The sequence below is a fragment of the Homo sapiens genome, chromosome 2 (genome assembly GCF_000001405.40).
Source record: "Homo sapiens chromosome 2, GRCh38.p14 Primary Assembly".
In the NCBI taxonomy this organism is placed as follows: domain Eukaryota; kingdom Metazoa; phylum Chordata; class Mammalia; order Primates; family Hominidae; genus Homo; species Homo sapiens.
The window spans coordinates 20,228,145-20,253,161 of NC_000002.12; the positions used below are offsets into that span (position 1 = coordinate 20,228,145).

The 25,017-nt window shown below is 44.5% G+C and overlaps 1 protein-coding gene and 2 pseudogenes across 48 annotated transcripts in view, besides 4 other annotated features; all 3 read right to left on the reverse strand.

Annotated features, from left to right (window-relative positions):
- Window positions 7,421-7,979: an enhancer, noted in NCBI's record as "H3K4me1 hESC enhancer chr2:20435326-20435884 (GRCh37/hg19 assembly coordinates)". NCBI's record gives its function as "activates a minimal SCP1, AML or CMV promoter by ChIP-STARR-seq in primed H9 embryonic stem cells {active_cell/tissue: H9 hESC(primed)}" and the evidence as "EXISTENCE:reporter gene assay evidence [ECO:0000049][PMID:30033119]".
- Window positions 7,980-8,538: an enhancer, noted in NCBI's record as "H3K4me1 hESC enhancer chr2:20435885-20436443 (GRCh37/hg19 assembly coordinates)". NCBI's record gives its function as "activates a minimal SCP1, AML or CMV promoter by ChIP-STARR-seq in primed H9 embryonic stem cells {active_cell/tissue: H9 hESC(primed)}" and the evidence as "EXISTENCE:reporter gene assay evidence [ECO:0000049][PMID:30033119]".
- Window positions 11,530-12,964, reverse strand: DRG1P1 (DRG1 pseudogene 1; annotated as a pseudogene).
- Window positions 12,991-13,137: a silencer, noted in NCBI's record as "fragment chr2:20440896-20441042 (GRCh37/hg19 assembly coordinates)". NCBI's record gives its function as "represses an EF-1alpha promoter that drives an FKBP-Casp9 reporter gene in an ReSE screen in HepG2 liver carcinoma cells and K562 erythroleukemia cells {active_cell/tissue: HepG2 | K562}" and the evidence as "EXISTENCE:reporter gene assay evidence [ECO:0000049][PMID:32094911]".
- Window positions 14,172-14,401: a silencer, noted in NCBI's record as "silent region_11204". NCBI's record gives its function as "represses an Ori minimal core promoter by ATAC-STARR-seq in GM12878 lymphoblastoid cells {active_cell/tissue: GM12878}" and the evidence as "EXISTENCE:reporter gene assay evidence [ECO:0000049][PMID:35858748]".
- Window positions 18,182-18,243, reverse strand: RNU7-113P (RNA, U7 small nuclear 113 pseudogene; annotated as a pseudogene).
- Window positions 20,547-25,017, reverse strand: part of PUM2 (pumilio RNA binding family member 2) — a 103,563-nt gene continuing 99,092 nt past the window's right edge. For 35 of the 48 annotated variants that reach the window (XM_047443807.1, XM_047443803.1, XM_047443815.1 and 32 more), the window contains one exon: window positions 20,547-23,572. In XM_047443807.1, the coding sequence (XP_047299763.1) occupies window positions 23,441-23,572 (132 nt within the window). In that variant the 3' untranslated portion in view covers window positions 20,547-23,440. The remainder of the gene's footprint in view (window positions 23,573-25,017) is intronic. The other 13 variants (NM_001352925.3, NM_001352920.3, NM_001352926.2 and 10 more) reach the window with 1 other exon arrangement.

Consider the following 25,017-nt stretch of genomic DNA (forward strand, 5'->3'; position numbering starts at 1 on the left):
CCAGACTGTATGTTAAGTTTGGGGACAATTCCTGCCCAAAAAAGAGGTGTAGGCTAGAAGGAGCCATGTTGGAGAGGTTTTTCAGAGAACTGTCTGAAGGCCACACTGGCGTATGTCTCCTCTAATGCACCGTAGGATTGGCTCTCACTGGGTCCCAGTGCAGGGGCATGGCCCTGAGTGCCATCGGGGGACTCCAGAGGAAGCCCCTCACCCACCACGGCTGCGGAGCTGTCCTTGGGTCTGTTGTGAGACATGAAGACCTAGAAGCAGTGGAAAGTTTTGGTTTCGTCTAAGGAACGAATATGTTCATCCTTTTTTTTTTTTTTTTGAGACGGACTCTCGCTGTGTCCCCCAGGCTGGAGAGCAATGGCATGATCTCGGCTCACTGCAACCTCCGCCTCCTGGCTTCAAGTGACTCTCCTGCCTCAGCCTCTCAAGTAGCTGGGATTACAGGCACCCGCCACGATGCCTGGCTAACTTCTGTATTTTTAGTAGAGATGGGTTTCACCATGTTGGTCAGGCTGGTCCCGAACTCCTGACCTCAGGAGATCCACCCACCTCGGCCTCCAAAAGTGCTGGGATTACAGGCGTGAGCCACTGTGCCTGGCCATATGTTCATTCTTAGATATTGAGAAATATGTAACCAAGTGTGTCTGCACTTTCGTGCTTTGGCAGCTCCAAATCATCTGGGGATTCAGTGTGCAGCAAGTGGATTGGACTTTATGTCCTGCTTCTCTGCTCTCAACCTCAAACCTGCCTTGCCCCTGTGCTGACTGTCCCTTTCTAACTTATAATTTCCCTTGCCTTCTAAGTTGCCTCTAATATTTGATAGCAGGAAAGAGAGAGAATAATACACCTTTTGTAGATATCATTGGAATTTACACATCCAAATCAGAGTATCTACTTCCCCAAAGCGATCCCCGTAAGGGACCACTTTTATCACCTCATGGTGCCCATCATCCTAGGGAGGCCTAGGAACCCTTTGTCTATGGGAATAACTTTTTTGTTTTGGAGGAGGAGAGTGGAGTATAGTTCATTTATTTGATAAATATGTCTAGAGATGGAGCATTACCCAGTTCCAGGAAGCATGATTCAGTGTCTTCCATGAAAATGGTATCCTGGCTGGGTGCGGTGGCTCATGCATATAATCCCAGCACTTTGGGAAGCCAAAGTGGATGGATCACTTGAGGCCAGGAGTTCGAGACCAGCCTGGCTAACATGGTGAAACCCCATCTCTACTAAAAGTACAATAATTAGCCTGGTGTGGTGGCACATGTCCATAATCCCAGCTACTCGGGAGGCTGAGGCACAAGAATCCCTTGAACCTGGGAGACAGAGGTTGCAGTTAGCCAAGATTGTGCTACTGCACTCGAGAGAAAGAGAGAAAGAGACAGAGAGAGAAAGAAAGAAGAAAGGAAGGAAGGAAGGAAGGGAAGGAAAGAGAGAACGAGGGAAGGAAGGAAGAAAGGAAGGAAAAGAGAGAAAGGAAAAAGGAAGAGAAAGAAAAAAGGAAGGAAAGGAAGGAAAGAAAGAAAAAAGAAGGAAGGGAGGGAGACAGAGAAAGAAAGAAAGAAAAAGAAAGAAGAGAAGGGAGGGAGAGAGAGAGAGAAAAAGAAGGAAAAGAAAGAAAAAAAGGGAGGGAGGGATAGAGAGAGAAAGAAAGAAAAAGAAAGAAAAAAAGAAAGAAAAAAGGAAGAAGGAGGGAAGGAAGAAAGACAAAGAGAAAAAGAGAGGGAAGGAAGGGAGGGAGGGTGGGTCCTGTGGAATCGTGCTCTAGAGATTCACAGTCCATAGCATCGGGTGTGAATGGTGCCTGTGGAGTTGTGCAATGCGGCAGTGCTATGCTGCAGAGACCCTACTGGGAGCCAGGCCCAGGGCTGAGTGCCGGAGATACCAAAGTGAAAACATAAGGTTTTCATTTTCTGTGAGTTCAGTCTTTGGGGAAAAACTGAACTAAACAATCATTATAAAACAAAGAAGTGCGTGCAATACTAACCTGTTCATCAGCAGCAGTAAGGAAATGATGGATTCCGGACGCAGGGATAAAGTTCCCAAAGGTTTCAATGATGAGGAAGGTTGAGGGTGGGTGGGAAGCCATTAGAACCTGTCCGTGGATCAAGAAACAGGATTTGGGCAGTGTATTTGATTCCTGTGGCTGCTGTAATAAATTTCTACAAATTTGGTGGCTTAAAATAGCACCCACTTAGGCTGGGTGAGGTGGCTCATACCTGTAATCCCAGCACTTTGGGATGCCAAGGTGGGTGGATTTCTTGAGCTCAGGAGTTTGAGACCAGCCTGGGCAATATAGTGAGCCCTCACCTCTGCAAAAAAAACAAAACAAAAAAATTAGCTGGGTGTGGTGGCACGCGCCTGTAGTCCCAGCTACTTGGGAGGCTAAGGTGAAAGGATTGCTTGAGCCTGGGAGGTTAAGGCCGCAGTGAGCCAAGATCATGCCACTGCACTCCAGCCTGGGCAACAAAGCAAGACCCTATCTCTAAATAAATAAATAAATAAATAAACACTCATTCTTTTACGGTTCTGGAAGTCAGAAGTCCAAAATCAGTTTCACTGGGCTGAAATCAAGGTGTGGGCAGGTTGGTGCTCCCTCTCAAGGCTCTAGGGAGAATCCATCTCTTGCCCCTTTCAGCCTCTGGTGGCTGCTGGTATTCATTGGCTTGTGGTCCCATCACTCCAGTCATCAAAGCTGGCAGCTTCAAAGCTCTCTCTGCTCCATCTTCACATTGCCTTCTTCTCTGTGTATAGTGAAATCTCCCTCTGGCTGTCTCTTGTAAGAATACAGGACTGCATGCAAGGCCCACTGGAATAATTCCCAATAATCGCCCCTATCTCAAAATTCTTAATCACATCTGCACATCTGCAAAGACCCACCACCACCACCTTGTATTGGTTGTTGTTCTATAAGTTAACATTCACAGGCTCCAGGGGCTGGGATATAGATATCTTTTAAGGGTAATTATTCAGCCTACCGCAGGCAGATAGAGCAGGGAAAGGACATTCCAAACAGGAAACCCAGCAAAGAGCAGGCAAAGAAGCAAGACAGAGCTTCAGGATGTTCAGGAACTGGAAGGAGTCTGAGGTGGGCTGGACTGGCCGGGGCACAGGACCTCTGGCAAGGGCTGGATCAGAGGGAGAGAGCCTGAGCAGTGTGTGCCAGTAACGGGCCGTGCCTAGGCTGGAGGAGCCAGTGGTTTGCATTTTGAAAAGATCCTCTGGCCACTGTGCGAAGGGCAGGCTGCAGGGAGGGAGACTGTGGGCTGGGACACCCTATGCAGGGGCCGTGAAGGTACAATGTGGGGAGCCAGGATTGAATAATATGGAGGAGGTGGGATGCGATGAGGCTTGGAGAAGGATGAAGGAGAGGAACAGTGCAATGTGGAAAATCCTTGGTGAGGGTCCATTTCCACCTGGTTTACGTAAACAGCTAGCGTCAGAGGGGCCGAATCAGTGTGTAAAGTGGCTGCCTAGGCTGGGGCAGCACTGGGTGCTGAAGTCCTTTGGTAGATCACCCCGGGGCTCGTGACTCAGTTCTAGGCTGCCTCAAGGATGAGCCTTTGTTGCCTTTGTTGGAAGCTTGGACAGGAAGCTCTCCAGCAGGGAGGAGTGCCAACACCAGCCACACCCTCCCAGGTGCAGCTAGGCCCAGTCACCCTGAGCAATTTCCTGGAGTGAGGCCACTCGCCACTGGCTCACACTAGCCCCTGCCCTGCAGGGCATCATCAAGGATCTGGAGTCTGAGCAGCACCAGGCTCTCTGTGACTCAGCCCCTGTGGGGAAGGGGAGCCCGTGCTGGTGCTCTTCGGGCTGGAGCAGGGAAGTAGCTCCCCCTGTCCCACCTCACCTGCTTTGCTAGGGACAGACTTTTTTTTTTTTTTTTTTTTGAGACAGAGTCTTGCTCTGTCACCCAGACTGGAGTGCAGTGGCACAATCTCGGCTCACTGCAACCTCCACTGCCCGGGTTCAAGTGATTCTCCTGCCTCAGCCTCCTGGGTAACTGGTATTACGGGTGCCTGCCACCACACACGGATAATTTTTGTATTTTTAGTAGAGATGGGGTTTCACCATGTTGGCCAGGCTGCTCTTGGACTCCTGAGCTCAGGTCATCCACCCGCCTTGGCTGCCCAGGGACAGACTCTACAAAGCCCTGCTAATTGCTGCATGCAATATGCTGTTTGTGAGGGGAGGGGCGGGGGGGGGGGAGCTGGGAGGAGTTGTTGTTGTTTTGATTTTTTTTGAGACAAGGTCTCACTCTGTCACCCATGCTGGGGTAGTGCAGTGACGTACATAATCACAGCTCACTGCAACCTCTGCCTCCTGGGCTCAGGTGATCTTCCCCACCCAGCCTCCACAGGCACATACCACCATGCCTGGCTAATTTGTGTATTTTTTGTAGAGATGGGGTTTTGCCATGTTGCCCAGCCGGTTCTTCTACACATTCTTTGAGCTACTTTAGCTGTGTGACTTCAGGCAAGCAGTAACCTCTTTGCTCTTTAATTTGTTCCTCTGTGAATTGGAGAAATACTAGTACCTACCTCAAAGAGTCAAAAGCATTGAATGAGCTAAGCCCTCCATAGGGCCTGGCACACACGTGTAAGTGCCCCCTGCATGCTAGTGATGCCGTGGATACCCACAGTGGGATTCACTGGGAGAGGCAGATAGACTCATTTTAGGCAAGTTCCTAAGCATTCTGACATAATACATATAAAACACTTAGCACTTTACCTGGCACAAGGTAGGACCCTAGAAATCATAGAGAAGTTGGAGATTCTAAAGCCCGCAGGGGAGAATCTGGGCTGGGCTCTGAAGAGATTCCTGAGCTCACCGCAGCCAGGATGTATAAGTCATAGTGTTATGTCAGCGCTCATACCTGTGTGTAGCACATGTGCACGCACCTTCACGCACACAGGTGTGCCTCACCTCCAGCCCCAGGATGCATATGCAAATTCATGTAACAGATGAGTAACTGAGTTCACTCAACAGGTGAGAAAGTGACTTTGCATTCCCTAGGAATGGGACAGAGGTTGCAAAGGGACAGCCCCTAGGGCTGCATTTGGCCTGTAGAAGTGTTTTGCCTTTAAACTATTTTATTTTGTTTTCTTTTTTTTGTTTTTGTTTTCCCCTTATGCTATTTTTTTTTTTTTTTTGAGATTGAGTTTCGCTCTGTCACCCAGGCTGGAGTGCAGTGGCACAATCTCGGCTCACTGCAACCTCTGCCTCCTGGGTTCAAGTGATTCTCCCGCCTCAGCCTTCCGAGTAGCTGGGACTACAGGTATCCGCCATCACACCCAGCTAATTTTTGTATTTTTGTAGAGATGGGGTTTTACCATGTTGGCCAGGCTGGTCTTGAACTCCTAACCTCAGGTGATCTGCCTGCCTTGGCCTCCTAAAGTGCTGGCACCCAGCCTACACCATTTTAAAAAGGAGATTTCCATCGGAGAATTGCATGTAAGAATCAAGATTTCTGACTTTTCGGCCAGGTGTGGTGGCTCACGCCTGTAATCCCAGCACTTTGGGAGGTCGAGGCAGGTGGATCGCCTAAGGTCAAAAGTTTGACACCAGCCTAGCCAACATGGTGAAACCCCGTCCCTACTAAAAATACAAAAATTAGCCGGGTGTGGTGGCAGGAGCTTGTAATCCCAGCTACCCGAGAGGCTGAGGCAGGAGAACCACCTGAACCCGGGAGGCAGAGGTTGCAGTGAGCCGAGATCGCACCACTGCACTCCAGCCTGGGCGACAAGAGCGAAACTCTGTCTCAAAAAAAAAAAAAAAAAAAAAAATTCCGACTTTTCTAGCTGAATTGGAAGAGCTAATATGCTGGACCCACATCCAGTCAAAGCAAAGACCAGCGGAAGCCACAGTCACAGAGTGTGTCTTTCTAGCTGGTCCACTACCTGCTGGGCCCTGCAGGGATCTGAGTTCCAGAGCCCTAGCACGGCGGTTGAATGTGTTCACTCTAACATCAAACCGTCTGGATTTGAACTCTGGCCCTGCCACCCTGGACAAGTCATACAACCTCTCTAAGCCTCCCTCCCTCTCTCTCTCTCCTTCTTTCTTTTTTTTTTTGTCAGAGTTTTGCTGTTGTTGCCCAGGCTGGAGTGCAGCGGTGCAATCTCGGCTTACTGCAACCTCCACCTCCTGGGTTCAAGCGATTCTCCTGCCTCAGCCTCCCGAGTAGCTGGAATTACAGGCATCCGCCACCATGGCTGGCTAATTTTTGTGTTTTAGTAGAGATGGGGTTTCCCCATGTTGGCCAAGCTGGTCTTGACCTCCTGACCTCAGGCAATTCGCTCGCCTCGGCCTCCCAAAGTGCTGGGATTACAGGTGTGAGCCACTGCGCCCGGTCTGAAATATTTTAATAATTCAAATTTATGTTACAGTCAAAATGAGTGGAAAAAAGGGGGCATGTAATGTTAAAAAGAAAATGTAATTTTTTCCTTTCTTAAAAAAAAAAAAACTAAGGTATATTTTACACACAGTAAAATTTGCCCTTATTGTTATACAGTCTGTTTTCAAATGCATGCAATTGTATAACCACCACTGCAGTTAGGATCTGGAACAGTTTACTCATCCCCAAAACTTCCCTGCACCCTTTGTAGTCAACTCCTTCCCCACCCCTGGCTCCTGGCAGCCACTCATCGGTTTTCTGTAAGTGTTGCCTTTTCCAGATGTCCTATGAGTGGAATTGTATAGTAGGAAGCCTTTTGAGTCTAGCTTCTTTCATTTAGGAGACTGCATCTGAGCTCCATCCAAGCTGTGTGCATCAGGAGTGTGTTCCTTTTCATTGCTGAGTGGTGTTCCGTGGTGTGGAAATGATGACTTTCCCATCAGCATAAACCCATGCTCTAGGAGCGCCCATCTCCTGAAAACAAAAATCAAAACAAAAACACAATGGAGGCCGGGTGCGGTGGCTCATGCCTGTAATCCCAGCACTTTGGGAGGCCGAGGTGGGTGGATCACTTGAGGTCAGGAGTTCAAGACCAGCCTGACCAGCATGGTGAAACCTTGTCTCTACTAAAAATACAAAAATAGCCAGGCATCTTGGCGGGCACCTGAAATCCCAGCTACTTGGGAGGCTAAGGCATGAGAATCACTTGAACCCGGGAGGCGGAGGTTGCAGTGAGCTGAGATTGCACCACTGCACTCCAGCCTGGGTGACACAGAGAGACCCTGTCGCAAAAAAAAAAAAAAAAGAAAAAAAAAATTAGCTGGGTGTGGTGGTACACGCCTGTCATCCCAGCTACTCAGAAGGCTGAGGCAGGAGAATAGCTTGAACCTAGGAAGCGGAGGTTGCAGTGAGCTGAGATCATGCCACTGCACTCCAGCCTAGGCAATGGAGCGAGACTCCATCTCAAAAAAAGAAAAAAAAAGGAAAAAAAAGAAATGTCAGTATCTACAGATAAGACTCAATCTTGTTAGTGGCTGCTTGGGATTCTCTGGTTTGGCTATATCTTGATTTATTTAACCATTCCCCTTCTGATGGGTGCCATTTTTAAAGGCTTTGCTGTCACAAACAATACTGTTGAATATCCTCACGTGGACATCGTCCCACAGCTGACAAACCTTTCTTAGGACAGAAGTGGCCTGGCTGCCTTGGAGGAGATTCTGAGACCACTGCTACATTGCTCTCCCCAAACGCTGTGTCTCCATGGTCCTTTGGATGCTCTTAAATTGCAGCGAGCGCCCACTCCCAGCCAGGGCCTGGGGGTGCATGCTGTCCAAGGCAGGGCCCTGCCCTGGGGCAACTGCAATCTTTGAGTCCTATGATGAGATGGTTCAAGAGCCAGGGGCCCCAGTCCTGGGTTGCAGGGAGGAGTTCAGGGAAGGCTTCCTGGAGGAGTTGACGTCCAGGCAGAAACCTGCCTGCTGAGTAGCAGTTTGTCAGGCAGGGGAGCAAGTGGGCAGGGCTGCTCAAGCTAGGGGAGGACTTGGCCAGCTGAGGCCCTGAAAGGGCCAGGGCCATCTACGCACCGCTGAGTAATGGTGTTCCCTAAATGCTCAGGGCAGTGGCTGAAGGGAGTGGCAGTGGGTGGGGATGACAGGAAGCTGGGGCAACCGGTGAAGGCCTTCACTGCCAAGCTAAGGAGTGGGAATGTTGCCCAGGGCAAGCGAGAGCCTGATTACACACCTGAGGAAGTGAGCCATAGGCTGGAGGGGAGAAAGGACCAGTGCCCTGGGATGGAGGCTGGGTGGGAATTCACACCTGGCAAGAGCCCACCAGGAGCCAGGCCCTGTGTAAGGAGAAGCCCCCTCTTCCTTTCTTCCTTTCTTCTTTCCTTCTTTCCTTCTTTCCTCTCTCCCTCCCTTCCTTCCCACCCTCCTTCCTTCCTTCCCTTCCTTCCTTCCCACCCTTCTTCCCTCCCTCCCTCCCTTCCTCCCTTCCTTCCTTACTTCTTCCTTCCTTCCCTCCTTCCTTCCTAAATTAATAGACCTTTTTTTAAAGAGCAATTTTGGGTTTACAGAAAAATTGAGTCATAAGTACAGGGAGTTCTCATTGACCTCTCCGCACCCTGCCACACACGGTTTCTCCTATGGTTAACCTGTTGCATTGGTGTGATACATCTGTTACAACTGACAAACCAGTACTGACATGCTCTCATTCGCTAAGGTCCCTCGTTCACATCAGACTACACTCTTGATGGTGTACACTCTGTGGGTTTTGACGAATGCATAATGACATGTCTCCACCATTACAGTAGCCTACAGAGCCTTTCACAGCCCAAAACATTCCTTGTGTCCTCCTACTCATTCCTCCCTCCTCCCAACCCCTTGCGACCACTGATCTTTTTACTGTCTTTGTAGTTTTGCCTTTTCCAGAGTGTCGAATAGCTGCAAGCAAACACACAGTATGCAGCCTTTTCAGATCGGCTACTTTCATCTAGCAATGTGGAGTTAGGGTTCCTCCAGGTCTTTTCACGGCTTGATAGCACATTCCTTTTTCTTGCTGAACAATATTGTGTTGTATGGATGTACCAGTTCATCTATTTCTGAAGGATATCTTGGTTTGTTCTGAATGTTTAGCAATGATGAATAAAGCTGACATAAACATTCATACGCAGTTTTTTTTATGGACAAAGTTTTCAACTCATTTGGGGAAATACAGTATTTGTCTTTTTGTGGCTGGCTTATTTCATTTAGTGCAGTGTCCTCAACTTTCCTCCATGCTGTGGCATGTACCCTTTCTTTTCAAGGCTGATAAAAATTTCATTGTATATAAACACACACCACTAGCTATTGACTGTTTTAATATGAGCCTGCTTTCAATTCCTTTGGAGGTATTTCAAGAAGTGGGATTGCTGAATCACAAGGTAATTCTATTTTTAATTTTTCAAAGACGCACCATACTGTTTTTTCCACAGAGGCTTCACCAACACTTGTTATTTCCTTGTTCTTTTTTTTTTCTTTTAGTAGCTGTCTCAATGGGTGTGAAATGATATCTCATTGCAGTTTTGACTTGCATTTCCGTGATGATGACTGATGACATTGAGCATCTTTTCACATTCTTCTTGGCCATTTATATATCATCTTTGGAGAAATGTCTATTTAAGTCCTTTGTCCATTTTAAAATCACGTTGTTTTTTGTTGTTGTTGAGTTGTAGGTGTCTATGTATTCTGAATATTAACCCTTTATTATTTACATATTTGCAAATATTTTCTCCCAGTCTGTAGATTGCCTTTCCACTTTGTTGATTGTTTCCTTTGGTGCACAGACATTTTAAAGTTTGATGTAGTCTCATTTATTTAGTTTTGCTTTTGCATGTGTTTTTGCTGTCATAGCCAAATCACTGCCAAATCCAACATCACGAAGCTTTCCCCCTACATTTTCTTATAGGGTTTCACAGTTTTCGGTCTTACGTTTAGATCTTCATCCATTTTTAGTTAGTTTTGTATATGATGTAAGGTAAGGGACCAACTTTTGCATCACTTGTTGCAACGACTGTTGTTTCCTCATTGGACGGTCTTGGCACCCTTGTGGAAGATCACTTGACCATATATGCGAGGGTTTCTCCCTGGTCTGTCTATTCTCTTCCTTCGGTCTGTATGTCTGTCTTTATGCCAGTGCCACACTGTTTGGATTACTGTAGCTTTCTAATAAGTTTTGAAATCAGGAAACGTGATACCTCTGGTTTTGTTTGTTTGTTTCCTACTTCCTTAATTTCTTTAATGGTATTGATATAGTCAAGTTTCCCACTCCTCTTGAATCAATTTTGGAACTATATATTTCCCTAGAAAATTATTTATTTTGGGCTGGGTGCAGAGGCTTACACCTGTAAATCCCAGCACTTTGAAAGGCTGAGGCAGGAGGATCGCTTGAGCTCAGAGGTTTGAGACCACCCTGGGCAATGTGGCGAAAACTCATCTCTATAAAAAAATACTAAAAATTAGCTGGGTGTGGTGGAGCACACCTGTGGTCCTAGCTACTTGGGAGGCTGAGGTGGGAGGATAACTTGAGCCTGGGAGGCTGAGTTTGCAGTGAACTGTGATGGTGATCATACTACTGCACTCCAGCTTGGGTGACAGAGTGAGACTCTGTCTCAAAAAAAAAAGGAAAGAAAATTATTTATTTCATTTAATTTTTAGTTTGTAAGTAGACTTTTAATATAAATTCTCTTATAATTAAAAATCACAATTTTATATCTTCTTACTGTTTGTGTCTTTCATCTTTTTTGCTAAATTCAAATTTTCCAAAAGCATGTCTAATTCATTATTTTTAACTGGTCAAGTTTTTGTGAGTGTGTGTGTGAGTTTGTTATTAATTCCGTCCTTCCGCTTTCTTTGTAATTTTTTTTGGTCTTATTTTACTAGCTTCTTGAGTTCATTTATCTTCAGATTTTCTTGACTAAACATTTTCTTTAAATAACGTTTGGCCTGAATCCCCAGGTTTTTATATATGTCTGTCATTGCTATTAATTTGGAAATTAACCCATAATAGTTTGTTCTAGATTAGATTAGCTCTTTAAATGAGGAGTTACTAAGAAGAGTATTTTAAAAAATTTCTAGAGTAGGCATGGTGGCTCATGCCTGTAATCCCAATACTCTGGGAGGCCTAGGTGGGAGGATTGTTTGAGGCCAGGAATTCAAGGACAGCCTGGAAACATAGCGAGACCTTGTCTCAAATAAATTTTTTTCTAAGATATATTTCTAGTAACAAATATATTTATATTTTGAAGATACATGCTTTATTAATAAATATATTTCTGTTTCTAAGATCGTTTTGCCCTCCCTTTCTAATTAAATTGCATTCTATTCAGTGAATGTGTCCTGTATGATTTCAGCTTCTTGGGTTTATTAGGCTCTTCATTATGGCCTAATAAATACAAAGAAAAATATTTGGAATTTGCATACTCAACAGTTAACAACGATTAACTCTTGGGAGGGGAATGAAATTGAAAGGCAGAGACAATGAGGAGAAGCTTTTTGTTTGTTTTTATTTTGTTTGCTTTTGATTGTTGGGAAGTTTTTATACTATAAGAATTCGCTCAAGTATAATGGTTTTCTTTTTCTTTTTTTTTTTGCACATAGATGACCAGCCTACCAGGTCTTTTATGCAGTTCGACATACAAGGTGACAGCAAGGTAAGACTAACGAAGTGCCAGTTTTGGTGCCTCCATCTCCCTCCCCTGGATCCTGATCCAGTGACTGCCAAAACCAGAAGGAACTGGGGTAGGGTGCTTGATCATGGGGAAGGCTGCTGTGGTTCGCCCGGTAGATGGGAAAAGGAAAAGGTTGCACTTCTTCACAATTTGAATGACATCCTTGTCCTCCAACGTATGGTCTTTACCCACTTTTTGAGGATTGTGTTTCACAGAGAGACCCCAGACCAGAGCATATTTAAATTCTTTGATAAGATTTTTGTGAATCTTCATGCAGAAATCTCCACTGTGGTCCTGGAGTAAGGAAGTACCACTGAGGATGTGTAACCTGGTAATTGCCTTTGGGTTTGGTGCAAATTCTCACTAGTTTCAGATAGTCCCAGATCTTTTCCAATAGGTCATCAAAATTCCAGTGGTGATGGGCAGAGATGGGTACACCGTGAGGCACCTTATAGTGCTATCCAATTCCTCAATGGAGATTTGGTCAATCTTATTTAACATAAGATAACATTTGGTCAATCTTATTTAACATAACATTTGGTCAATCTTATTTAACATAGATACAGGGGATATAAACTCTGTTTCCTTCCACCACATCAATGAGGTCATCAGCTGTAGCATCACTACGTAGAGTCACATCGGCATTATGAATCTTGTATTCAGCCAGAATGCTCTTCACAGTTTCAGCATCCAGCTCACTCTGTGGGCAAGTGGCTGTGAGATGAATGCCTCCCTTGTCCTTCTTCTTAAAGCCATTGTTGGGGGGCGGTGGTTGCTGTTCAAGTGAATGCCAAAGACTTCCAGCTCATTTTCAATTATCTTCTTATGTCCCAAAGGTTTCAGGACATCCAGAACAATCAGGATCAAGTTACAGGTTCGGGCCACTGCAATGATCGACGACCTCTACCTTTCCCATCCCTGGCACCTTCAATAATACCTGGGAGATCCAGGAGCTGGATTTTGGCACCTTTGTATCTGATGACACCAGGCACAGTGCTCAGAGTAGTGAATTCATAGGCTGCCACCTCAGAATATACCCCTGCCAGGTTACTAAGCAGTGTCGACTTCCCCACAAATGGAAAACCAACAAATCCAATTCAAGCATCACCTGTCTCGGCCACATCAAAACCTTCTTCTGCACCTCCACCACCACCACCACCCTTTGGAGTAGTGAGTTCTCGACGAAGCTTAGCAAGACGAGCCTTAAGCAGCCCCAGGTGGTGTGCTGTGGCCTTGTTGAGTCCAAGCCATCTCCTCTTCTGTCTCCGCGATCTTAGCTAGGGTGCTGCTCATCGTGGCGAGTACCCTGTGGCCTCCACACTGACTGTCTCCCTTCACACACCCGCGGGCAAACTAGCTCAAGTATAATGCTTTTCAAAAGTAACTCAATGAACTTGGGAGTGTAGGCCTCGGTACAGTGGCCCACAGACCCCTGAGAGCACCATTGTGTGACAGCTCTTCACCGAGAGACACCGCCTTTAAAAACGCGTTTAGGGCCGGGCGTGGTGGCTCATGCCTGTAATCCCAGCACTTTGGGAGGCTGAGGCGGGCAGATCACGAGGCCAGGAGTTTGGGACCAGCCTGACCAACATGGTGAAACCCCGTCTCTACTAAAAATACAAAAATTAGCCAGGCATGGTGGCGTGCGGGTGTAATCCCAGCTACTCGGGAGGGTGAAGCAGGAGAATCGCTTGAACCCTGGAGGCGGAGGTTGCAGTGAGCCGAGATTGCGCCACTGTACTCCAGCCTGGGCAACAGAGCGAGACTCCATCTCAAAAACAACAACAACAACAAACAAAAAACAAAACAGAAAAACGCGCTTACTTCCTACTGGCTTTACAGTGGTGAGCATTACCTAAGCACCTAACTTCAGGCTTTGGGGTAAAGAGAGAGAAACACACAGTCTGGCCTTCCAACAACTCACAGTGTGGGTGGAGAAACGTAAGAAAACAAGCCATTGCAATAATTTGCCATCACCGCCATCATGACCTTGTGCCTGGAGGAGCTGTCCCTGGAATCTGTCTAGGGAAGCTCCAGGGCTGGCTCCAGGAGACGAGGAGGAACTGGCTGGCCAGAGACAGGGGCAGTAGGGTTGTCAGATTTAGCAAATAAAAACAGAATGCCCAGTTAAATTTGAATTTCAGATGAACATTTTTTTTTAGTATAAAATGTATAATTATGTCCTATGCAATGTTTGGGATTTATTTATACGAAAAAATTTAGTCGCCCCACCTGTGGCTTTAGGGCCGACTTGTTCAGGAAGGGAAGAGGAAGAGCACAAGAAGGTTTGGTGCAAGAAGATGGGTTCGGTTCCGGACATGTTTGGCGAAACGGGGCCAGTGGCCACGTGACTGGAGATGTGCGATTCCAGGCTGCAGGATGTCAGGGCTCGGGCTTTAGGGGCGAGGCCTGGGGTCCGCGGTGGTAGGATGTTATGGGAAGTGCCCTGTGATGAGGCTGCAGGCGGTCGTACATGGCAGTTGAGTGGGATGGGTAGAGTTCTTTCCTTGTTCGAGAAGGCAGGGTGTGTCTGAGCAATCCTGTTTAGAAAGATCAACTCCAAGTAATTTAGACGAAGAAACTTCTGGAGCTGGACGGATCCCCCAGGGTGCGCCGCGCCTGGACTGGGAAGGGCCCCCGGACCCGCGGCGCAGGGGAGGGCCGGGCCGCCAGGGGGCGCTCTCGGCGGACGGGGCGGGGGTCCCCCTTGGTGTCTCCCAGGCAGCTTCGCAACAGCCCTGCTGGATTAGGCCCCAATGAGCAAACTGAAGCCCGGGTGGGGAAAGGGCGGGGGGGGGGGGGCTTGAGGGCGTCACCCAGGCGGGTCAGTTGCTTTTTTAAAAAAAATTATTTTTATTTTTTTTATAGGGAAGGCAGGGGCATCTCGCCATGTTTCCCAGGCTGGCCTCGAACTCCTGGACTCAAGCGAGCCTCCGCCTCGGCCTTCCAAAGTGCTGGGATCACCACCGCGCACAGCCACTTTTGCAGCTTTCTAAGGCCGCCCCCAGGCCCTTGCCACCCTGCTGCGTGAGCCAGGCTTGGGCCTGTGGGGAGGGCTCTAGGTCACCTGGTGGCTGCCGTTGTGTCTACAGCTGCCTCTTCCTGTGACAAAGCTGACTCTTTGTCTTCCAGGTCCCTTCTCTAGTTTTCTACCCTACTGTAGAAGAGGGTGGGTAATGGAATATAGATGAAGCTGTCACCCTTCCAAACTCTGGGGGGTGACCCCCTCCCTCCTCTGCTCACAGGTGCCTTCCAAGCCCAGACTCCAGTGCTCAAACCAGAACTGACTTTTGAAGGAGCAGGGCAGAAGAGGACTCCCAGACACCCCTCCTCTTCTCCAGGGCGAGCCCATACACGTGCTTTTGTCCTCATCCCTGCCATAGGAAGGGGCCCACCAGGTGTGACCCGGCTTTCCAAGGCTTCTGGCCATAAAAGGCCAGGGGTGGGAATAAAGCAAGAAAGAGATGAGACTCCGCCCATGTCTCGGGGAGCCCCTCAGCTCTGTAACTGGCACTGCTACCTCCCCTGCCTCCAGTCCCTCTCTACTGCTGCTCTGCCAGCCTGTGCTGGGTCCTCCACACCACCGCACTTGTCACTCACCTGCTCAAGAATCTGTGATGACCCCTATTGTTAACTGAAGCATTGCTTGTATCAAGAATCTCATTCTGTTTCTCCCTCCACTGGGGTGTGCACCTCTTGAGGGCTGTATCCTCAGCATCAAGAATACTTGACACAGGCCGGGCACGGTGGCTCATGCCTGTAATCTCAGCACTTTGGGAGGCCAAGGTGGGCGGATCACTTGAGGTCAGGAGTTCAAGACCAGCCTGGCCAACATGGTGAAACCCCGTCTCTACTAAAAATACAAAAATTAGGCTTAGGTGGGCATGGTGGGCCACGCCTATAATCCCAGCTACTTGGGAGGCTGAGGCAGCAGAATCGCTTGAACCTGGGAGGTGGAGGTTGCAGTGAGCCGAGATTGTGCCACTGCACTCTGCACTCTAGCCTGGGTGACAGAGCAAGACTCTATCTCAAAACAAACAAAAAATGAAACCTGACGCAAAGTAGTTGCTCAATAAATAAGACTATGAAAATGCACTGGCTGCTGCACCCACCTTGCTCTCAATCCCCCAAAGCCATCCCCTCATCCTCTTCATTTTACCTTTCCCTTCCAAGCCCAAGGCACTGATTAGTTTTGAAATCTTGATTCCTGTCTAGATTTAAAGGCTTTGAGTTAGGAATTACTTTTTTTCCCTCCCGCCTAGGACCTCATGCCTTCTCAAAAAATAGGTAAGACCAGCCAGACACAGTGGCTCATGCCTGTGATCTCAGCACTCTGGGATGCTGAGGCAGGAGGATCACTTGAGTCCAGGAGTTTGAGACCAATTCAGGCAACATGACAAGACTCTTGTCTTTACCAAGAAATTTAAAAATGAGCTGGGCACGGTGGTGCATACCTATTGTCCCAGCTACTCAGGAGGCTGAGGTGGGAAGATCGCTTGAGCCTGGGAGGTTGAGGCTGCAGTGAGCTGTGATCATGCCAGCGCACTACAGCCTGGACGACAGAGTGAGACCCTGTCTCAAAAAACAAAACAATACAAAAGATAAGACTGAATGTTCTCCATATGGTCCTATTTGGTCATGGAATGATTTGTGGTGGATTTTCCTCCACTCTTCAGCATTCCTTCCATAACCTGTTTCTGGCCATGAGCTACATGCTGTTTACACAAAAAAGATATGATCCTGAACTGGGTGGAAGGCTTCTGCTCAACTGCATGGGCACCAAAATGTGTGCTGAGGGAAATCACACATGATCTTCTCAAGCAGCTTTTGACTTCCCTCAGGATCCTAGATGACCATGTTCATAAAGAATTATTGGCCAACATCCCATATCTTCTGACTATGAAGGTGAAAACGTGTGCTTTGCGTAGAGTTGGATGAGACCCTTGTTTCTGATTTCTAAATACCTACTGCTTTGAGGAAGCTTCCATCATCCTAACTTCGTTGTCCAGGCAGAGGTTGAGAGGGAAAGGTTTAGAAGGCTAACAGGCAAATCTTTCTCAGTTCAATGGCTTCCTTGCTATAAGCCAAGTTGGCAGAGCTTTATTAAGGAGTGTCACTGTGGCTTCCTTCAAACTTGATGCATCAGTTGGATGGACCCTTATGGAGGGCTCTTCCTCACTTGGCTACAACTGTGGCTCAACTCTCAAACAAAGCAGACATTTAGAAATAATTTGACGTAACTATTTATTTATTTATTTATTTTGAGATGGAGTCTCACTCTGTTGCCCAGGCTGGAGTGCAGTGGTGTGATCTTGGCTCACTGCAACCTCCGCCTCCCGGGTTCAAGTGATTCTCCTGCCTCAGCTTCCTGAGTAGTTGGGATTACAGGCGCCTGCCACCTTGCCCAGCTGATTTTTGTATTTCTTTTCTGAGATGGAGTTTCACTCTTGTTGCCCAGGTTGCAGTGCAATGGCTCGATCTCAGCCCACCACAACCTCCATCTCCCGGGTTTAAGTGAGTCTCCTGCCTCAGCCTCCTGAGTAGCTGGGACAGGCATGCACCACCATGGCTGGCTATTTTTTTGTGTGTTTTTAGTAGAGACAGGATTTCTCCATGTTGGTCAGGTTGGTCTCAAACTCCCGACCTCAGGTGATCCGCCTGCCTTGGCCTCCCAAAGTGCTGGGATTACAGGTGTGAGCCACCATGCTCAGCCTAATTTTTGTATTTTTAATAAAGATGGGGTTTCATCATGTTGGCCAGGCTGATCTCGAACTCCTGACCCCAGGTGATCTGCCCACCTCAGCCTCCCAAAGTGCTGGGATTACAGGTGTGAGCCACTGCGCCCGGCCTGGAGGTAGCTCTTTAAATCAAACACTCAGCAAAGAATTGACTGATTTGCAGGCCTGTTCTTTTACTGAAGCATAACCATAGCATCAAGAGGCTTCCAAACTGGTGAAAATCATGCAAGGGATGGGGTAAGAAATGGCAGAGATCAGTTGATGGTCCCGAGCTACTCTGACCTCCACAAAACTTCAGCAGCTTCTGGGTCTCTAATATGCTTTTGTGTGTGTTTGTGAGAGATATACCAAGATTTCCCATCACAATGTCTTTGATTTCCTTGCTCTTCTCTCCATCCTGGCAGCTTGTATACACCAGGGCAAATCTACACATGACTTAATGATTTATCTGCAATTTGAATCAAGAGTTTTGCTCATTTGCAGAAACATAAATGATCTCCAAACCATGTTTTGAGGCTGCATGTAACCGAATTTTAAAAATGAAAACTTATTTTAACCAAGTGATGCGCACGAGTTGCTTTAGTAGCTAACGTGTACCGAGTACTTGCCATGGCGCTTCAGGTCTATTCTCTTTAATCCTTACAATCTCAGCAGGTCACCATTTCCTTGACTTACACAAAGAAACTAAGGCTTAAAAGATGAAACCACTTACCTACTAGATATGAAGCTAGTGTTTGGCACCTGGGCAGTCTAATTCTAGAGCCCAAACTCTGAATCATTACTTTCTGATGCCCAAGAAAGTTTGAATCAATCTTTCTGTTGATCTTTCTGTTGTTGGGTTTTCCGGTAAAAACTGGAAAACCTGCTAGACAAATTCTAAAAGAGCACTGACATTTGAATACATTTTAATCCAGCCAATTGCTTTCCCTTAAACTACCAAATACAAGACTATTTCACCTGGTTTTAATTCTTGGTAAATATATTTTTTAAAAGTTCTATGGCACTTCCGCCTCCGCTGAGGTGGTGCCAGAGCCACAGTCATGAGTTGCTTCAAGTTTATCGGTAAAAGGAGCGTTTTCCCAACTCACTGGGTCGTTCTGATCGGTCCAGGGTGTTGCTCACCAAGGCCACAGGGCCCAGAACTTGAGCTCTCCGGCTTTGTAAGGGTTGAAAGGGCCACTCAGTGGAAGAGGGTGCAGGAAGGTTTCTGGGTGCTGGTAATGTTCTGGTTCTTGATCTAAATCCTGGATTCATGAGTATTTATTTGTGAAAATTAACAAGCCGTACAGTTATGATTTTTTTGTGCTCTTTCAAAAAAAAAAGTTCTGTGTATGGAACATAGCAGAAACTGGAGAAACTGCCTACAGGAGCTATCTTGGGCTGTCTTGTCCTATATTGGCTTAAGAGTTGGCTGGGCCTGGTGGCTCATGCCTGTAATCCCAGCACTTTGGGAGGCCGAGGCAGGTGGATTGCTTGAGCAGGAGTTTGAGATCAGCCTGGACGACATACAGACCCCATCTCTACAAAAAATACAAAAAGTAGCCAGGCATTGTAGCATGAGCCTGTGGTCCCAGCTACTTCGGAGGCTGAGATGGGAAACTTGCTTGAACCTGGGAGGTTGAGGCTGCAGTGAGCAGTGATGGCACCACTGCACTCCAGCCTAGGTGAGAGCCAGATCTTGTCAAAAAATAAAAATAAAAACAACAAACATACTCCTCAGCCACAAGGTTCTGTGGGAAAGTCAGGATAGGACCCTACAAGTAACAAAGGTCCAGTCCAGTCCTGGCCCCACTCCCCTCTGCAGCGCAGTGCTTAGAACAGCCTCCTAGGGGTGAGCCCTGAAGCCTCAGCACTCTTTTCCTGCTCAGCTCCCTGTTCATAGACACATTTTCTAATTTCTACCAGGCAATTCTACCAGGCATGTTAAGCTAGGTACTTTTAAGTGAGGTAGGGAAGGTGGACAATGAATATGGCTCCTTTAGGGGTTTCTTTGTCCTCTGCTGCTTTAAAATCTTCCAGAGAAAGTGTCATCGAGGGCATCTAGTCCCAGGTGAATTTAGGAAACTGCTTTCCTTAGGTTGGTAAGCCAGGGTGCGAAGATGTGGTATTTCCTTGTTAAGACCTTTTAAATTTCAATACAATGTGAGGTAGTATGTCAATAATCCAAGAGGGTTGCTCAGAAGAGACCCAAACCAAGACAAAATTAAATTTCAGGAAATACAATGTGTATGGTGACATTTCTTTTTCCCACTTAGCTTTATGCAGGTTTCCATTTTGGAGTCTATCAAATTGTTCTGGCTTTTTTTCTTTTTATAGCTGTAGAAAGAATGGGAAAAACAGAAATGGTATTAACAAGCGATTCATTAAGAATTAGGTTCCAGGCCGGGTGTGGTGGTTCACGCCAATAATCCCAGCACTTTCGGAGGCCACGGCGGGCAGATTACGAGGTCAGGAGCTCGAGACCAGCCTGGCCAACATGGTGAAACTCCATCTCTACTAAAAATACAAGTTATCAGCCGGGTGTGGTGGTGTGCACCTGTAGTCCCAGCCACTCGGGAGGCTGAGGCAGAAGAATCACTTGAAGCTGGGAGGTAGAGGTTGCAGTGAGCTGAGATGGCGCCATCACACTCCAGCCTGGGCGACAATGCGAGACTCTGTGTCAAAAAAAAAAAAAAAAAAAAAAAATTAGGTTCTTGGCCAGGCATAGTGGCTCATGCCTGTAATCCCAGCACTTTGGGAGGCCAAAGTAAAAAGACCACTTGAGGCCAGAAGTTCAAGACCAACCTGACCAACAAGGCAAGAATCCATCTCTTAAAAAGAAAAAAATAGGTTCTAACTATCTTTTTGTATATTCTCCACTGTTAAAACTAATGAGTTAAGTAGTATTATCCCTTGATACAGACTAAGGGCTCAAGGTTTAGAAAAGTTCACAAGGTGTGTAAATAAGGTAAACTTTAAATCCACATCTGAACTTAAATTGTTTACCTTTAGACAACACTGCCTCCTCGAGTTCATGTGAAAACGGGCTAAAAGTTTTATCCTATGAAGTATGCAGTTATAGGTCCTAAATACTAATCAAAGCATGGAATTAATACCATCAGAGGAATCAGTGGCTCCAGAACAGCACCCATGTGTTAAAAATGTTTGTTTTCTTTACGTCGGAGTAAACCTGAATGGGCAATCAATCTTAAGTTATAACTGAGGTACAGAGGGGTATTTTATCTAGAGAAAAACACAAGACCAGGTTTATTTCATACAATGTTATTCACACATTTTTCATTTTCTAATTTATACATAATATACAAAGAAGTGAAGTTAACATTATTTCATATGAACCAATAAGAGCCAGGACTTAGACAAACTGGTCCAGAAACAATCCCTATCAAAAGGAGACACTCAAGAGTAAAGCCTAGGTAGTTTTGCCCAATTGTTTTATTCTGAAATGTGATTTTCAGATTTTACCAAAATTTCATGCCAACTTACTAAAAGGTAAAAATTGGGGTGGGCACCCAAAATGGCAGACTGTAAAATTTCTACAAGAACAGGTACTTTTGTAGAGCAGGCCTGAAAGTATTGGGAAGATTGGGTTGTCAGCACTGGGACAAATGGGAATGAGTATCAGGACCCCAAGAAGAGGGTTTAGTTTCTCAATGTAGTATTCTCTACTTGTCATTTTCTAAAATTGCAGAGATAATGCCTGTGCCAACAGAGGGCAAGGATGAAGGAAGACTAGGAATTCAACTGTACAAAGACAGGAAAGCCATTACCAATCTCCAACATGACAGCTTTGATCCTGAAACCATGGGCTGATACTGAGAACAAAAGTTCGATACGGGCCGAAATACTCTGAGGTTGGTAAAGTAGGAAAAAGTGAGACAGCGGCTTTGTGTGGGTTTTAAAAAAATGAAACAAACACAAGGCGTTGCTGCAGTGACTGGGACATGCTGATGACCCAGAGTGACTATGAGAAGGAACGGTGACAAGTGTTTGGATTTAATGGTCTCACCAAGGAATGTTGGGTTAGAAAAGTAAAATAACTCAACACCAAACATGAAAAAGTATGCCTGGCATCCCCAAACTTTATGCCATTATTTTTAGGTTCATAATATGAACAACTAAGTGATAAAACCTTTAGATTCCATATTGTGCTCAGAAGATTGCGTTTCTTCTGCAGATCTCTAGTAAAAAAAGATCTCTTCCATATTCAGCTGACAGAATAGCATGTTCATTTTAGTTTTCAGCACTGAACATAAGTGGGTCAACATAAATGTTTATACAAAATACTGACTTCAACAAAATACAAAGCACTTTCTTTATCTTTCAGAAACTGAATATACACAGCAAGTTTTTTTCCAAAATATTTTCATAGGCAAAGGATTAAAAACGATTTTAATTATACACATATGGTCACAATTTTGCCTTAAAAAGATTGTTGGGAAATGTACATAAGGCCGCTTGTAAATGTACATCGTGTTACTGTTATGTCTTATGTCCAGAGGAAAAAATGTTATCATACAGATTTGCTCTTACTTGGGAGTAGGCTATTCAAAAATACAGTACTCTTCTGTACAAAGAAAAAAGTCACATCACATTTAATAAGATGAAAAAAGCATTGGCCTCCATGGTAACCAAATATCTCAGTCCAATACTTTCTATTATGCACAATACCCTGACTTCAATTGAAAGTGATCCAAATTCTAGCAGGTCCATATTAACAGTCAACAACTATGTTATAAAACAAAATGATCTCACAATAATAAAAAGAAAGCTGGTTCATACTTCTGAAACCATATAAAGATAAAAAATTTTTAAAAAATCACTCTCGATTTGGAGAAATAAATTTACATTATACAACACTATATTGCCAGGTCAAAGAGGGCAGGGACGTAAATGTACACTAAAATGCAAATGTATCCCAAAGAGATAAAACAAATTCCATTTACAGCATGAAGGTTTACAAATGTACACCTGTACAACCAAGGAAAGCATCACTACTAAATTAGCAAGGCTTTTATAATAAACATTGAAACAAGATTTCCTTTCAAAGTGTAAACTTACATCTATTACTACACACACAATGCATATATTTATAGAAAGCAAAAAGAGCTATCTGAATATGTAATCATGCTTAAATGCTGAGCTATCAAATTCACTTTTCAGTGGCCCCTTTTCATCTCTATCTGGTTCCTACTTTCTGCCTCTATGAAAAAGCAAAATAAAGCTCAACACTTCCTCAACATGTCTGTAATTCTATAAGCAAAACAAAATACAAATTTCCACTCTTTCTCATTGCAAACCAAACTGAAAAGTTAATAAGTGACTTAACTTTTCATTTAGTGCACTTAATTGGAAGTGTCACCATGATTTTGTATTTAACTCTTACAACAATTACATATGTAAGTATATACAATATTTCTGTACATTGCCAGAGACATTTTAGGGCAGTAATTGTATTAAAACCACATCTACTGTAAATAATGTTAGGTTCTTTTCATCTCAAACCACTTTATTCTTGTCTACTTACTCGTTATTTGCATGATAGTTTGTGAATTATCAAAATACAACTTAACTCTTTTTAAAATATTAATAATATTTATGCAGTTGATTGTTAATCTGTTATAAAAGGTTTCACGCAAAGGAAAAAAATAAGGACTATAATTCTATATACATCTCTATAAACCTGTTGTGCTATGGGGTTGTAGACCTACCAGACTGTGAGCCAGTTTATTAAAAGAATACTGTACTTTTTCCTTTAAAAACTATTTTTGTGACTTTACAAGGTAAAAATTTACAAAATATGTGACAGCTTTTTATTTTTGATACAGTTACATCATATACAGGCATTCTGTGCTTTGCCAGCAATCCAATCTGATAGGTCTCCACTCAGGGCTGAATATAATTTATAATTCATCCCCCACCCCCCAAATATACACAAGAACCTTAAAAAATTTACAAATGGATGAATAAAGTCAATAAATAGTTTTGCTTTAAAAAAAAATTGAAGATTCATAGTTGAGTTGTGTTTTGATAATTCACACACAAAAAAATTCTTTTCACATGGTTAAATTATCTTCTTTCTCTTGCTCCTGTAATTTACAGCATTCCATTTGGTGGTCCTCCAATAGGTCCTAGGTCCGGGCTATTCTTCAAATAATACTTTTCCAACTTGGCCAGTATATGCTTCCCGTATGTGTATTTGCGCAAAGTAGTAATGTGAGGTCGAATCTGAAAAACAAATAATCTGCTTAGAAAATCTAAGTCATTTTAGTTTCTGATTTCTTAAAAAAGCACCCCCAATTCTGGGTAATTTAGAGGAATAACTGCAATTAAAAAAAATTTAAATCCAAAGAAAGCTACTTTTTGCAAAAGCAGTTGTGATCTGCTCAATCCCTCCAAACATCTGTTCTCGAAATTGTTCAATGAATAAAACACTACATCTAACTATGTCACGTGGAAACAGGCAGAGGCCCCAAACATAGCAAGAAAGTTACCCAGTAATTCCACATCCAGGAATTTATTCCACCAAAAAAATTACAAAAAGACTTTTGTACAAAGCACTACTTATAACAATTAAACAATTAGGGAGGATCCAAATATAATAAATATGATACCAGTTAAATAACTAACGCAGCTGTTAAAAATAAGATTGCAATTTTTTATATTCATTAGTTTACAGCAGAAACACTCAATTAAAAGATAGGTAGACACTTAGAGGCCAGTACTTTGGGACCAGACTGGGCAACATAGCGAGACCGCATCTCTACAAAATATAAACAAAACTAAAAGCATGCATGCCTGTAGTCTCAGCTACTAAGGAGACTAAAGTGGGAGGATGGCTTGAGCCAGGAAGTTGAGGCTAGAGTTAGCCGAGATTACACCACTGCACTCCAGCCTGTGCAACAGAGACCCTGTCTTGAAAGAAAAAGAAAGGAAAACTTACATCAAGTTGAAGAATGAATTTTAAAAATCAGAAGACCAAAACACTTTTACAGATGGAAGGAATCCTAAGATATCATTTTTCTCTCTATATGAGGAGACGACCAAAGGGGTTATGTAATTCATGTTTTGTAAATGAATTCATTAAGATCAAGAGTATTCAAAATAAGTGTTTTTTTCAGTGTTCTTTCAGTTTTCTTTATAAGTTTTCCTGCTGCAATTACTAATTTCTTAAAGAATTATTAGATTCTAGGAGGAGGATACAGAGAGGAAACAGCTTAAAGGGAATTTTATGAGTTAGTACTACCTCCCCACAACATAAACACAAAATTCTACTTAGAAAAATGTATTAGGTTAAAATCAATGTTCAACCCATGTATTATGGTAAATTAAATGTAGTTTGCCATCTGCATATGTGGATTCAACCACTGATCAAAAATATTTTTAAAAATGACAAAGTCTGTATTAAACAGATTTTTTACTTATCATTACAGTATGACTATTTACATAGCACTTACACTGTATTAGGTATCGTTAAGTAATCTTGAGATGAGTATATGGGAGGATATGTTTAGGTTATATGCAAATACTATACGCTATTTTATATAAGGGACTTGAGCATCCGTGAATTTTGGCACAGGAGTGGGTGGGTCCTGCAACCAATCCCCCAGTTACTGACGGGCAACTGTACAGTTAAATAAGATGAAGGCAAAAAGAACAATGTAAAACATAGG